The 13,538-nt window shown below is 43.0% G+C and overlaps 1 long non-coding RNA gene across 1 annotated transcript in view; it reads left to right on the top strand.

Moving 5' to 3' along the window:
* Positions 1 to 13,538, top strand: part of LINC00529 (long intergenic non-protein coding RNA 529) — a 36,768-nt gene that overhangs the window by 6,657 nt on the left and 16,573 nt on the right. The window contains exons 3-4 of the long non-coding RNA NR_170283.1: positions 3,264 to 3,430; positions 9,510 to 9,586. This is a non-coding gene — a long non-coding RNA (long intergenic non-protein coding RNA 529). The remainder of the gene's footprint in view (positions 1 to 3,263; positions 3,431 to 9,509; positions 9,587 to 13,538) is intronic.

Raw genomic sequence — 13,538 nt, 5'->3', positions numbered from 1 at the left:
TTCCCCCTTTGGCTCAGCACTTCTACTTGTTGCCACCATGTGAAGAAGGACATGTTTGCTTCCCCTTCTGCCATGATTTTAAGTTCTCTGAGGACTCCCCAGCCATGCTAAACTGTGAGTCAATTAAACCTCTTCCTTTATAAATTACTCAGTCTCAGGTATGTCTTATTAGCAGCATGAGAACAGACTAATACAGTGACTCTCTCTAATTTTACTGATGGTGGACAGGCAAGCCCCTAAATCGGGACTTAGCCCGGGATGGTTCTTGGCTTTGCCCATGAAAGAATTCAAGGGTGAGCTTGTGGTGTTAAACTGTAACTTTTATTGAAACAGCAGTGCACAGCAACAGCAGAGGCACTGCTCTTTGCGGAGCAGGGCTACCCCATAGGCAGTGTGCCCAGAGTAGCAGCTCAGAGGCATTCTGCAGTCATATTTATACCTACACTTTTTTTTTTTTGAGACAGAGTCTTGCTCTGTCACCCAGACTGGAGGGCAGTGGTGCTGCCTCAGCTTACTGCAACCTCCCCCTCCAGGGTTCAAGCGATTCTCCTGCCTCAGCCTCCCGAGTAGCTGGAATTACAGGTGCATTAACCTGTGATACCAAAGGCTAACTTTGGTATTTTTAGTAGAGACTAAAGGCTAACTTTGGTATTTTAATAGAGACAGGGTTTCACCATGTTGTCCAGGCTGGTCTCGAACTCCTGACCTCAGGTGATTCGCCCTCCTTGGCCTCCCAAAGTGCTGGGATTACAGGCGTGAGCCACCGGACCTGGCATATACCTACTTTTAATTACATGCAAATTACGGGGCAGATCATGTAGAAATATCTAGGAAAGGTGGTAACTTCCAAGTCGTTGGGCTGCTGCTGTGAAAAGGAGCAGCAACTTCTGGGCATTGCCATGGCAATGGTAAAATGACATGGTGCACTGGTGGGCGTGTCTTATGGAAAGCTGCTTCCACTCCGTTTTAGCTAGTCCTTAATTTGGTCCAGTGTCCAAGCCCAGCCCCTGAAGTTGAGTTCAGGCTCCTACTTCATTACTACTTAATAAACTGTATTAAGAGAGCTTTCTGTGCCATAATGTTCCACTAGACAGTAAGTTCCTCAATGGGAAGGGCCATTTATTGCTTTCAGTATGTCCACAACCTACCTTGGTGCCTGTACATAGTAGCCACTCAGTGTTTGTTTGTTGAATAGATACCCATTATTTACTTAACATATTCCACCCTGACCTCTCCTCCCTACACCCCAATCTGAGTGACTTTAGTTATTATTGCACATATTTATAGCAGTGTCTTGATGAGAATAGGGGAAAGGTCATATTATATTGTCCCCACCTTGCAGATGAGGGAATTAAAGCAGATAAATAACTTCTCAGTGACAATTATACTGAAAATCTCTTGCATTTGGTTAGTGTATTACAGCTTACAAAATGTTTTCAAGTATGCTATCACATACGACTCTCTCAATACGACCTGGTGAAGTAGACAGGTGAGGTATTGTTCCCAGTTCAGAGAGGAAGAATGAAAGCTCAAAGGGACGGTGCCATCCTTTCAACAACAAAACCAAGCAGTGAGGCAGAAACCCAAAGGCAATACTTCTAAGTCCAAGGCCCGGGCCCTTGCTGTCACACTAATTTAAATTGGACTTATTTTGCACTGCTTTTGCCTGTTAAGATTCAGAACTGTGGATATTGGGAAAAGATAGTCTCTCTTAACTAGTCAAAGGGGGACTAAGCTTTCCTTGTACAGAGCAACAAAAGGAAAGTTCTGGGGACAATAATATAATCAATGGGTCTGGCTTCAGATATTGCAGTCTAACAATCATATTTCCTATGTCTGGGTTCTGTGTCTTCAATCCCTGGGCCACTTCATTTTTGAGACCAATCAGAAGAATAGGAATCTAGCACCTTACAAGAAAGTGGAGTAGTGAAAAGAGGAGGCCCTGTTGGTATTGCTACATTTAAAAATACCCCAAACAGAGTTGCTCAAAACAACGCCCATCAGTTGGTGGATGGGAACTGGAATAATGGGGGGCTGGTGGAGAGAGGCTGAAGCCACTAGGGCTGTCCAATCAACTCTCTCTCTCTCTCTTCCTGTCTCTCTGCAGTCTCAGGGCCACTCTTCATGGTCTCCTGGGGAGCTGGTTTGGTATTCCTGCTAGTATGGTGACCGCAGGGCAGTGAGGCTGCCTACATAGCAGAATTTGAGGGCAAAGTGAAACCTGGGTCATTTTTTATGACTTAGATGCCACATAATGTCGCTTCCACTGTGCTCTGCTGATCTAAACAGTCACGAACACCCACCCAATTTCAAGAAGACATAGGCCCCGCCTCTCAATAGCAGCAGTGTCTAAGGGCGTCTGTTGAGGGTGGGAAACATGTCTATACAAATTAACTTCCCCTATCCACACTGGCCACTGGAAAGAAGAGTAAACAGAATATGTGGAAAGTCAGCACACTTTCCGGGCAAAGTGCTTTTCTGCTCATAGCCATAATGAAATGAACTAAGAATATGCAATTACATATAATTAGGTATAATTAAAATACAGAGACACATCTAAAATAAAGGCCTAATTAAGAAGTAGGATAACTAGGTGGGAATGTCAACAATGATAATTCAGTGATTACTGTTGGGGATTATTTTGTTGTCATTGACCCTAAATCAGGGTCAGCGTCCAGAGAAATAGCGAAACAATCTCAGTCTGCTCTCAAGTCTTAGTCACACCTCCCTAGCTTCACATTTCTTATTTCTCCACACTATTTAAGTGAAGCTTTTTATTTTATTTTATTTTGAGACAAGGTCTCACTCTGCTGCCCAGGTTAGAGTGCAATGGCATAACCATGGCTCATTGCAGCTTCAACCTCCTGGGTTCAAGCGATTCTCCCACCTCAGCCCCCTGAGTAGCTGAGATGACAGGCAGGCATGTGCCACTATGCTGAGCTAATTTTATTTTATTTTATTTTATTTATTTTAATTTATTTTTATTTTTATTTTTATTTTTGTAGAGAGGAGTCTCACTATGTTTCCCAGGCTTGTCTCGAATTCTGGGACTCAAGTGAGCCTCCTGCCTCAGCCTCCCAAAGTGCTGGGATTATAAGTGCGAGCCACTGTGCCAGGCCTGTATATAATTATAAATGTGATATATAGTTATATTTTCAATCTTTTTATTTTTTAAATGGACTATGACATGCCTTCCACATGCCCTTCCTTACTTACCTTCTCCCCCTTTTGTGTTCTTTTCTTTCCTGCTCTACTTTTCTCAGAGATGTTCACCTTAAGAGGACAGATCTGCAGGTACCACCCGATCCGTAACTCGGTGATTCCAAAGAGAAGAACATACCTTTCTAATGGAGATGTCTGGTGATCACCACCATAGCCGAGGGATAGCAGTGCGGCACCCGGACGTGCTGAGCTGCAGACACAATGACAGGTGCACTTCCCCTGGGAGGCGGTCTTTCCCAGCACCCTTAACTCGAATCTAAGCATGAGGAAGCCATCGGTCAGGTCCTCAACGGAGGAGTGTTGCAGGGAGATTTTCTACAGGCTAGAGGCCTGGACTCTCCTAATAATCCAATGCCATGTAAAACAAAACAAAAGCAAGAAGGCAGGAGGACCACCGTAGACTAAAAGAGGCTAAAGCGATGTAACCACCAAATGTGAGACATGAAAACTGATTAAATCTCCAATCAGGAATAACATGCCACAGAAGACATTTGGGAAGAGACATGAACATGGTTGTACAGGAGATGACATTATTGAGTTAAGTTGATATTCTTAGATAGGATAATCGTGACGGTTATGGAGGAACACGTCCTTTCTCTCCACAGTCGTGTATTGAAACTTGGAAGATTAACTGTTATAATAGCTGCAGGTTACTTTCAATTGTTTATGACAACCTGGGTGTACCTATATTTATTATATGTACTGTGTGTATGCATGTGTTATGTATGTGTATGTATGTACACACTGTATTGGTATGTTCTTGCATTGCTATAAATACCTGAGACAGTGGAATTTACAAAGAAAAGAGGTTTAATTGGCTCACGGTTCTGCTTGCTTTACTGGAAGCGTGGTGCTACCATCTCCTTGGCTCCTGGGGAGAATTCAGGAATGTTACAATCATGGTAGAAGGCAAAGGTGGGGGCAGGCACGTCACATAACAAAAACAGGAGCAAGAGGGAAAGGGGAGGTGCTACACACTTTTATATGAGAACGAAATCACTATCACGAGCATCAAGGGGATGGTGGTAAAGCATTCATGAGAAATCCACCTCTGTAATCTAATCACCTTCCACCAGGCCCCACCTTCATCATTGGGGATTACAATTCAACCTGAGATTTGGGTGGGGACACACTTCCAAACCATATCACACACACACACACACACACGGAGAAAAAATGTGGCAAATTGTTGACAATTGGTTAATCTGAGTGAAGGGTTTAAACATGCTTATTGTACTGTTGTTTCAACTTTCCTGTAGTCTGAAATTTTTTTCAAAAGTAAGATTTTAAAAAGTGAAATTAAGAAAAAACATATCAAATTTTGACCTGCTACAGTGTAACAGGCATTAATGTGGATTTCTGGAATTTGACAGCTAAACACCCAGTATGAGTGGAGGTTTAGCACCACACGTGGTCTGGAATGGCGGGGTTGGTGGATCAATTTTAATGGGCCTGACACTGGGAAGCATAGTCATCTACCAGCTTGAAGATGATTAGATCCTAAGGTCACCAAAAGACTAGGCAACAGCAACTGCGGCTGTGGACTTGATTGTTGCGTTGTTAAGGGGTTACCTGTAGGAGTTCAAATGAGAATTGTTGAATCACACATTCATAATTTAAAGTGTGCACTGTCATCTTGTCATCAAGAACTTTTATGCATCTGAAATGTTCAAATCCTGAAATTCCACCTTTTGACTGCGGTTTCCTTTTCCTGAATTTCATTCAGTATAAATCTGCCCTTCTCAGGGAGCCTTCGGGTCTCCATGGTCCTTATTTAACATCATTTCCTTCCCTGCCCAGGCTCCATCTACGGGCTAGTAATTTTCATTATGCTCTTTCAAGCACTCATAACTCCTTTACCCGTGTGAAGGCAAGAGCTGGGGTTCATTTATCTTTGCAGCTGGTACATAATAAGCATTTGATAAATACACATGCATGGAGTTGGAGTTGGATCTTCCGATTTAACCAGCTTGTTTTACAGGTGAGGAGATCGAGATTCAAGGATATGAAATGACTCAGCTAAGAGCACACAGCTAGTTAGTGGCAGGACAGAGACTAAAATCCTTTTTTAAAAAATTTAACCCTCAAGTCTTTTTTTACTCTTTTTTTACAGCCAATGTGTCCTTCCCCTTTATTTGCTTAGTCTAGCTCAGTTTTTACTTTTGAGTTGGATTGGTGACAAAGATTCACTGCTTGGCGAAGCTTGAGTTAGAGTCTTGAAACTTCTTGTAGGACCATCTGTGCACTTCCTTGTAAAATCCAGTTTTGGTAAAGAGCCCTGCGAAGTCTGTTTAGTGAGGACCACCCCCCCGCCGCCGCCCGCATCTTCAATACCTAATCGGGTTTCTCTTCCTCCACCATTTAGCAGGTGATGTGTGGTCACTCTTGCCTGCCTTCAGCAGGAATCCTCTTACGTTAGTTCAGCCGAAATTCCTCATATCCCTGATGGTTCCTCTTAGTAATTTTCACCCCACTAACCACTCCCACACCCCACCCACTTGGCCAGGCTGTGTCTGGAGTGGAGCTCAATCTCTCTCCACCACTGCAACATGCAACTGCAGAGGTCCTTTCATCTATCACAACGGTCTTGAATAAAGCCTTCCTTACTGTGCTTTAACAAGTGGCATGGCATGGCTTTTTCCTTAAACAGTGAGTGAGAAACAGGGGAAGAATGAAAAATCAGCGAACTGCCCAACACATGTACCCCACAGGCTGGCCTCTGGTCTCTGTTTTCTACAACTTCCCATTCCCGGGCAATGGAGGAGCATGTGAATAGACACCAGGAGAGGAGTTCCTTGCTCTGCTGGCTTTCTGCTGCATTTTCAGTCAATTCTTCCCTGGTGAGAAGTCTTTAGTCACTGGAATCACTTTCACATTTTCTCCTTGGTTCAGACGTAACTGTGCATGTGTGTGTATCCCTGTGTTTGTGTGTGTATCCGTGTGTACCTGTAGGTTTTCACTTTGAATGAACAATGACAGTCTGTTTCTCATAACTTTGAATTTAGAGCATCTCCTGGCCTAAGGTTTCAGCAGGCATTCTATCAGCATCAGTGTCAAAAACAAGCAAAGCCAGACACCAGTTAAATTGGTCTGGACAGGTCTTCATCAGTAATGTCTATTGCAATAGGAAAAAGAGTCCAGCATGAGCTGAACTCAACTGTGATTTGTACACAGGGCATTTGAAAGGGGGAATGGGGGAGTACAGACGCTGACTGGAGGAGGATCGGTAGATTCCGGGAAGTGAACAATTGCAAAGGCTTAGTGTCAATGCGATTAGATCCTCCGTGTCTGCAGCAGGAGACGGGGCCCTGTCCTTCCTGATTGTTACATTTCTTTTATTTTTAATTTTTTATTTTTTTTGAGACAGAGTTTCGCTCTTGTTGCCCAGGCTGGAGTGCAATGGTACGGTCTTGGCTCACTGCAACCTCCACCTCCCAGGTTCAAGCGATTCTCCTGCCTCAGCCTCCCACGTAGCTGGAATTACAGGCATGCACCACCATGCCCGGCTAATTTTTGTATTTTTAGTAGAGATGGGGTTTCACCATGTTGGCCAGGCTGGTCTCGAAATCCTGACCTCAGGTGATCGGCCTCCCAAAGTGCTGGGATTACAGGCATTAGCCACCACGCCTGGCTGATTGTTACATTTCAAGGGAAGCACTTTCAGGTCCTTGAGACTCTTTTGAGTCATATCACACACCTGTACCTCTCAAAGATGGAGGAAGATTCACAATTATAAGCTCCTTTTGGTAAATGCTCTAAGAAAGGGAGGTAAGAGACCTATGTCAGATACTGGATAGAACAAACAGTAAACTCATTTGGCAGCCTTAAATTTTTGTGTTTTTTTTTTTCAAGGAGGCACTTTAAGGGGAACTAGGGACATCCTAGGGTTGTGGCCTTGAGCTGTTAGAAGCTGTGTTAGCATTTGCTCAAGTCTTTTAATTTGCCTGTGTCTGAAATGCAGGAGGCAGGGCTTGCAGGTGCTAGGTTGCTTCCCACAGCCTGTTAGACTACTTTGGCTCCAGAGCCTCCTGATCATCAGCGTCCCCTTGGGGTTACCTCGGCAGCGACAGCCAATCATTACTGACCCTAGGCAGTGTTTCTTAAACTATGGGGTGAAAGGCATTCACATCAGTATGTCCTGGGTAAGCACAGGGGAACATGCAGATTCCTGGACCCAGACCCCAACCAGCGAATCAGAACCTCTAGGAGCCAGCCAGGTGTGGTGGCTCACACCTGTAATCCTAGCACTTTGGGAGGCCAAGGCAGCCAGATCACTTGAGGTCAGGAGTTTGAGACCAGCCAGGTCAGCATGGCAAAACCCCACTTCTACAAAAAAAAAAAAAAAAAGAAAGAAAAAAAAATTAGCTGGGCATGATGGTGCATGCCTGTAGTCTCAGCTATTTAGGGGGCTGAGTTGGGAGGATTGATTGAGCCTGGGAGGCAGAGCTTGCAGTGAGCTTAGATCATGCCACTGCACTCCAGCCTGGGCAGCAGAGTGAGACCCTGTCTCAAAAACAAAAAAAAAAAAAAAAAGAGGAACCTCTGCGAGCCTAAGCTTGTTCTACAAGCTCGCCAGTTGTTTCTGAAGCTGCAGCTGTCACCATGCCTCTATACGGTAACAGCTCAATGAATAGTGCCCAGTTCTAAGACCTGCCATCTTGCCACTGCGTGAGATTATACCATGGCGACTTTTAGAGAAGCCCCACCAGTCTCAGTCTGTGAGTCTTTCAGGTATCTGAGATGATCACTAAAATGTTTCCAATCCTTGTAATGCCATTCTCAGTTCCATTCCTAGATACAGGTGAGAAGTCTTCAGCTTCAGTATTTCAGTGGTTTATTCGGAAAGCAAGTATAGGCAGATAAGTTGATGTCAGCTCCCTGCCAAATTCTTGGAACAGCTTGGGAAAACATAAAATGATTAGCAAACAGCCCTCCCACCCAGGCTGGAGTGTAGGAATGCAGTGGTGCAAACATAGCTCACTGCAGCCTTGAACTCCTAGGCTCAAGCAATCCTCCTCCCTCAGCTTCCTGAGTAGCTGAAACTGTAGGCATACATCACCATGCTCAGCTAATTTTGAAACTTTTTGTTGTAGAGTCAGAGTCTTGCTATGTTGTTTAGGCTGGTCTCCAACTCCTGGGCTCAAGTGATCCTCCTGCCTCAGCCTCCCAATGTGCTGGGATTACAGATGCACATCACCACACCCAGCCCAAGCCCCGCCCATTCTTTGCATAAAAGCAACCATTTAATTAGAGGTTCTATTATGGTCTGACATTTTAAGTAAAAAAGATTATTTGGGGAAAACATCCAGGCATGGGTCTTGAAGACAGCCTCTAAAAGCCTTCTGCTTCTCGTTAGACAATGCCTCTGAAGCTTCTCTGATTCTGTACAGAATCAGGACACGAAGAGGGGGAGGAAATACTGTGATTGCAACTGTAAAAGCAATCAGAAGTATACAGTTATTGGAAGGTCTACAAGTTAGGACTAGGGAACCCCCCCCCCCCGAAAATGCTGTATAATTATCAGCAAGATGGCGAGAAATAAACAAGGGAGATTTCATAGGAGAGAAGCAGAGTATCAGAAAAGAATATCTAGGCTTTGCTGCAGGAAAAAGTAAAAATAGAATATTGGAACTTCTACCACATAGATATAAGTTATTTCTAATATTTGGATGGTAATAAAATACAGTGTCCTCAAAAAGTAGACAGAGCAAACTTTTCTGATCAAAAGGTAGGAAGGGATTAAAAAAAAAAGGCTAGCTATTTTAACCTTTAAACAGTGGATAGTCTTCATTTAATGTTCTGTCATTTCTAAAGAGGCTGTCTGGAGCCAGGCATGGTGGTGCGAACACCTACGGTCCTAGCTACTCAGGAGGCTGAGACAGGAGGATTGTTTGACGTCAGGAGTTCAAGGCTGTACTGTTCTGTGACCTCGCCTGTGAATAGCCATTGCAGTCCAGCCTGGGCAACATAGCAAGACCCCGTTTCTGAAAGAAAATGTGTTATGCTTTAAATCTCTCTAGAACAAAGTAGGTTTTGAAATCCTAGCCAACCGCTTACTTATTTAACACATATTTGATACATCAAAGAATTAGGATAGTTCTTTGAAGCTGATTGCACTGGGATTTATCCTGGCATTCTAAGTTTTTGTCTTTAGATGGGATAAGATTTGCTGATCAACTTCTCTACACTTACTCTTATCAGCAGCCCTGGGTTATCTTTATGTGGACCCAGACTCAGTCCAAAATCCTTAAGTCTTCCCATCCTTCTGATCTTTCACTTTTTTTCAGGTCCCACCTTACCTGGAAGAACCATGAAGATCAAATAGAAGGTCCTTGTGCATGAAGCTCAGCGGAAAAAAGCTCGGGTATGAGGCAGGGGAAATGTAGCGAACAAAGCACTGGGAAGAACAGTCACTTTGCACCTTTTGTATCAAAAGGAAGCAGGTCTAGGGTGGATAGAAGACATTCATCAAAACTGTGAAAGCCAACTCTTTATTACTTGATCTTTGCTTTCGTGTGTCATTTTGCCCCTAAAGCTGAACTCATGAAAGTGCCTAACAGAACGCCCATTCAGGGCCCATTTTACCTTTCCTTGCACTGTTAGAATCTGCAGAAATGAAATTTAGCTCAACCTCAAACTAATCAGAAAAATAAGTTCCAGATGAGATAGAGCTCTCAGTATGAAAAATCATTATAGCCTTCCATTTTTAGCAATATGGCAGACTTAGGAATCATAATGAGACTTTTGATTTAAAAAAACCTATAATTGTGTAAATATTTTTTAAACAACAGATTATTAAATATATTGCTGGCCTGGCAAAAAGTAAAAGAGAAATCCTTAAAGACCACAAATAATGGAACATATGAATTCAGAAAGGTAAGCAAGGACATTGAAACGGTTTTGCTTAAGGAATATCTGCCAGTCTCTGGGGACCTGGAGATTCCATTTACGTGGTTTAGTTCAGGAGAAAAGGAGACAAAATCTAGTGCCCACACTTGATAGATTTTTCTTTATTTGTATTCTCTATTTCATTAATTTCTCAGGTATTAATGAAGGTGGGAAGTCTGACTGTAGACCTTTTTATTTTACATAAGGCTTAGACCCTGAAAGTCACACACTGGGTAATACTAAAAAAAAAAAAAAATCCTGCCTTTCTTAACGAGTTAGTAAGGAAACTTGTCTACCTTGATTTTGCCTCTGAGTAAACGGGAGAAAAACATGTTTAAGAATTTGTATTTTACCATCACACAAGTTTAGGGACAGAATTTCTACTCTCCAAGAATTCTGGAAACACCAAACTGATAACATAATTTAAAGACATCCTGTACTGGATGTGGTGGTTCATGCCTGTAATCCCAGCACTTTGGGAGGCTGAGGCAGGGGAAACACTTGAGCCCAGGAGTTCAAGATCAGCCGGGGCAACCCCATCTCTATAAAAAAGTTTTAAAAATTAGCTAGGTGTGGTGGTGTGCAGCTCTAGTCCCAGCTACTCAGGAGGCTGAGGCAGGAGGATTGCTTGAGCTCAGGAATCCATGGTTGCAGTGAGCTATGATTGTGCCACTGCATTCCAGCCTGGATGACAGAGCAAGACCCTGTCTTTAAAACAACAACAACAAGAAAACAAAAACAAAAAAAGATATTCTGGATTGCTAATATATCCAGTACCTGCAAAAGCAACTGTCAATCTTCTCTCGAGGAATGCACCTCAAATTAAAAAATTATTACAGATTTGTTCCACAGCACAGAATTTCACAACAGCAAGCTGTAAGACACAAGAGGAAACCATCATTTGAGCGAGAGTTGGGAGGAAGAAGAAACAGAAATGCATTCCAAAACACTGAGCATATTGGAATGGAAATTGAAATAAAAATTTAAATATGTCTAAAGAAATAAAAGGGACTGTTAGACTTTGGAAGAAATATGAATTTTGCAAGCTTTACAAACAGTAACTACCATCTGCCATGATCTCTACTTAACTAATAGCACCCAAACAGAAAACTATAGAGTACCTGATAACCCGACAACAAAGACACGCTAAGATCTGGCTTCAAAGTCATGCTTCGACAACTGCCAACCTAAATGACAGACAGAGAGGCTCTCTAATAGAAAATGATATTTATGTGGGAATGGACACTGCAATGGGAATATGTGTGTCATAATAAACTAAGTGCATATTCAGGAGGTAAAAGAAGACAAAGGTTTTTTTGAAGAAAAATGAGGAGGGCTGCATAATTGTTTTAAGATAATTATGTTTGGCAACAAGGAGCAATAATAAGGGTTGTGCCAGCCTGAGGTCAGACAGGCAGCTGCTGGGCAGATGTCCTTGCAGAAGTATATTTGTATGCAAGGTTGTGATTTTTGCAGACTTGTGTGATAATTCCTCTTATCAGGCATTTGTGCTTGGGAATCCTCCTCCCTTCATGCCCTGCGCTGGGTCTATTGTTTAGATTTTTAACACAAGCAACTCCATTTTCATTCTGACAACTTTCACACAGTGTAACATTATAGAATCATTTTGACCAACAACCTAATTCTGCACTAAAAATCCTTCCGCCAAGATCCTCAGACAATCTGGTATTTGATTGTCTACTATGCATACCATAAAATTTTGACAAGCCTCATGGATCAGTCCCTTCTCACACTGCTAGAAAGAAATGCCTGAGACTGCATAATTTATAAAGAAAAGATTGGCTTCCTTGGCTCATGGTTCCAGGCTGTACAGGAAGCATAGAGGCTTCTGCTTCTGGGGAGACCTCAGGAAGCTTTTAATCATGGCAGAAGGCAAAAGGGGAGCAAGGTATCTCACATGGCCAGAGCAGGAAGAAGAGAGTGAGTGGTGAGGTGCTGCGCACTTTTAAACAACCAGATCTCACCAAAACGCACTCACTATCACGAGAACAGCACCCAGGGAACGGCGCTAACCCATTCATGAGAACTCCACCCCCACGAGCCAATCGCCTCCCACCCAGCCCCACCTCCAGCACTGGGGATTACAATTCGACAGGAGATTTGGTAGGGACACAGAGCCAAACCCCATCAGCTCAACTGTGTTGACTTTTTGTCTTTTACAGTTTTGGAAGTCCAATACTCAGAACTTGCTTTTCACCTCCTGACCAAAGGACACTGTGGCAGCATGCCAAAATGTCTTTTTGCCTTTAAACTTTCTCACCTGAAAGTCCAACATTGACCAGAGGGTCCGTGTTGTTATAATGCCTGGGAGCCACTGAGCTCTGGCTTGTGGTGAAGATACAACTGGCTGAAAGGTCGTTGAATCTGAGTGCTGAGTACGTAAGTGTTTTCCATAAACAGAGTGGCTTAAACAATATAATTTTTTTTTTTTTTTTTTTTGAAACTGAGTCTCACTCTGTTGTTCAGGCTGTAGTGCAGTGGTGTGATCTCGGCTCACGCTAACCTTCACCTCCCAGGTTCAAGTGATTCTCCTGCCTCAGCCTCCCAGGTAGCTGGGATTACAGGCACCTGCCACCAGACCCGGCTAATTTTTGTATTTTTAATAGAGACAGGGTTTCGCCATGTTGGTCAGGCTGGTCTCAAACTCCTGACCTCAGGTGACCCATCCACCTCAGCCTCCCAAAGTGCTGGGATTACAGGCGAGAGTCACTGCACCTGGCCCAACAGAAATTTACTGTCTCACAGTTTTGGGAGCTGAAAATCTAAGATCAAGGTGTCAGCAGGATTGGTTCCTTCTAAGGGACAAGAACCTGTTGCATGCCTCTTCCCTGGCTTCTGGTGGTTTGCCAGCAATCTTTGGCGCTCCTTGCTTTGTAGTTACATCTCCAAAATCTCCACCTTCATCTTCACATGGTGTTCTTGTGTTCATGACTGTCTCTGTGTCCAAATTTCTCCCATTTTAAATGACAGCCATCATATTGGATAGGGCCCACCCTACTACCTCATCTTAACTTAATCATGTGCCTCCTCCCCACAAAAAACCCTTTGTTCACAGACACTGGGGGCTAGGAATTCAATATTTTGGAAGAGGAACACAATTCAACTCACAATTATTATATTATTATCTCTACTTCTGCACACATTTGAGATTTTCCTGAGTGAGTTTCAAAAAATCTGCTATAGCTCTAGAACACTCTATCAAACAATAGCAAAATGTATGTTCTTTTCAAGTGAATATGGAATGTTCTCTAGGGAAGGCTTTATGCTAGGTCATAAAACAAACCTCAGTAAATTTAAAAGGATTGAAATGATACATAGTATCTTCTCCAACCACACTGGAATTAAATTAGAAATCAAAAACATAAAGTAATTTGGGGAACCCACAAATATGTAGAAATTGAACAACA

Source organism: Homo sapiens, chromosome 8 (assembly GCF_000001405.40).
Source record: "Homo sapiens chromosome 8, GRCh38.p14 Primary Assembly".
NCBI lineage: Eukaryota > Metazoa > Chordata > Mammalia > Primates > Hominidae > Homo > Homo sapiens.
Note: the sequence above shows the minus strand (reverse complement) of the source record. Positions and strands in the feature narration are given on the sequence as shown.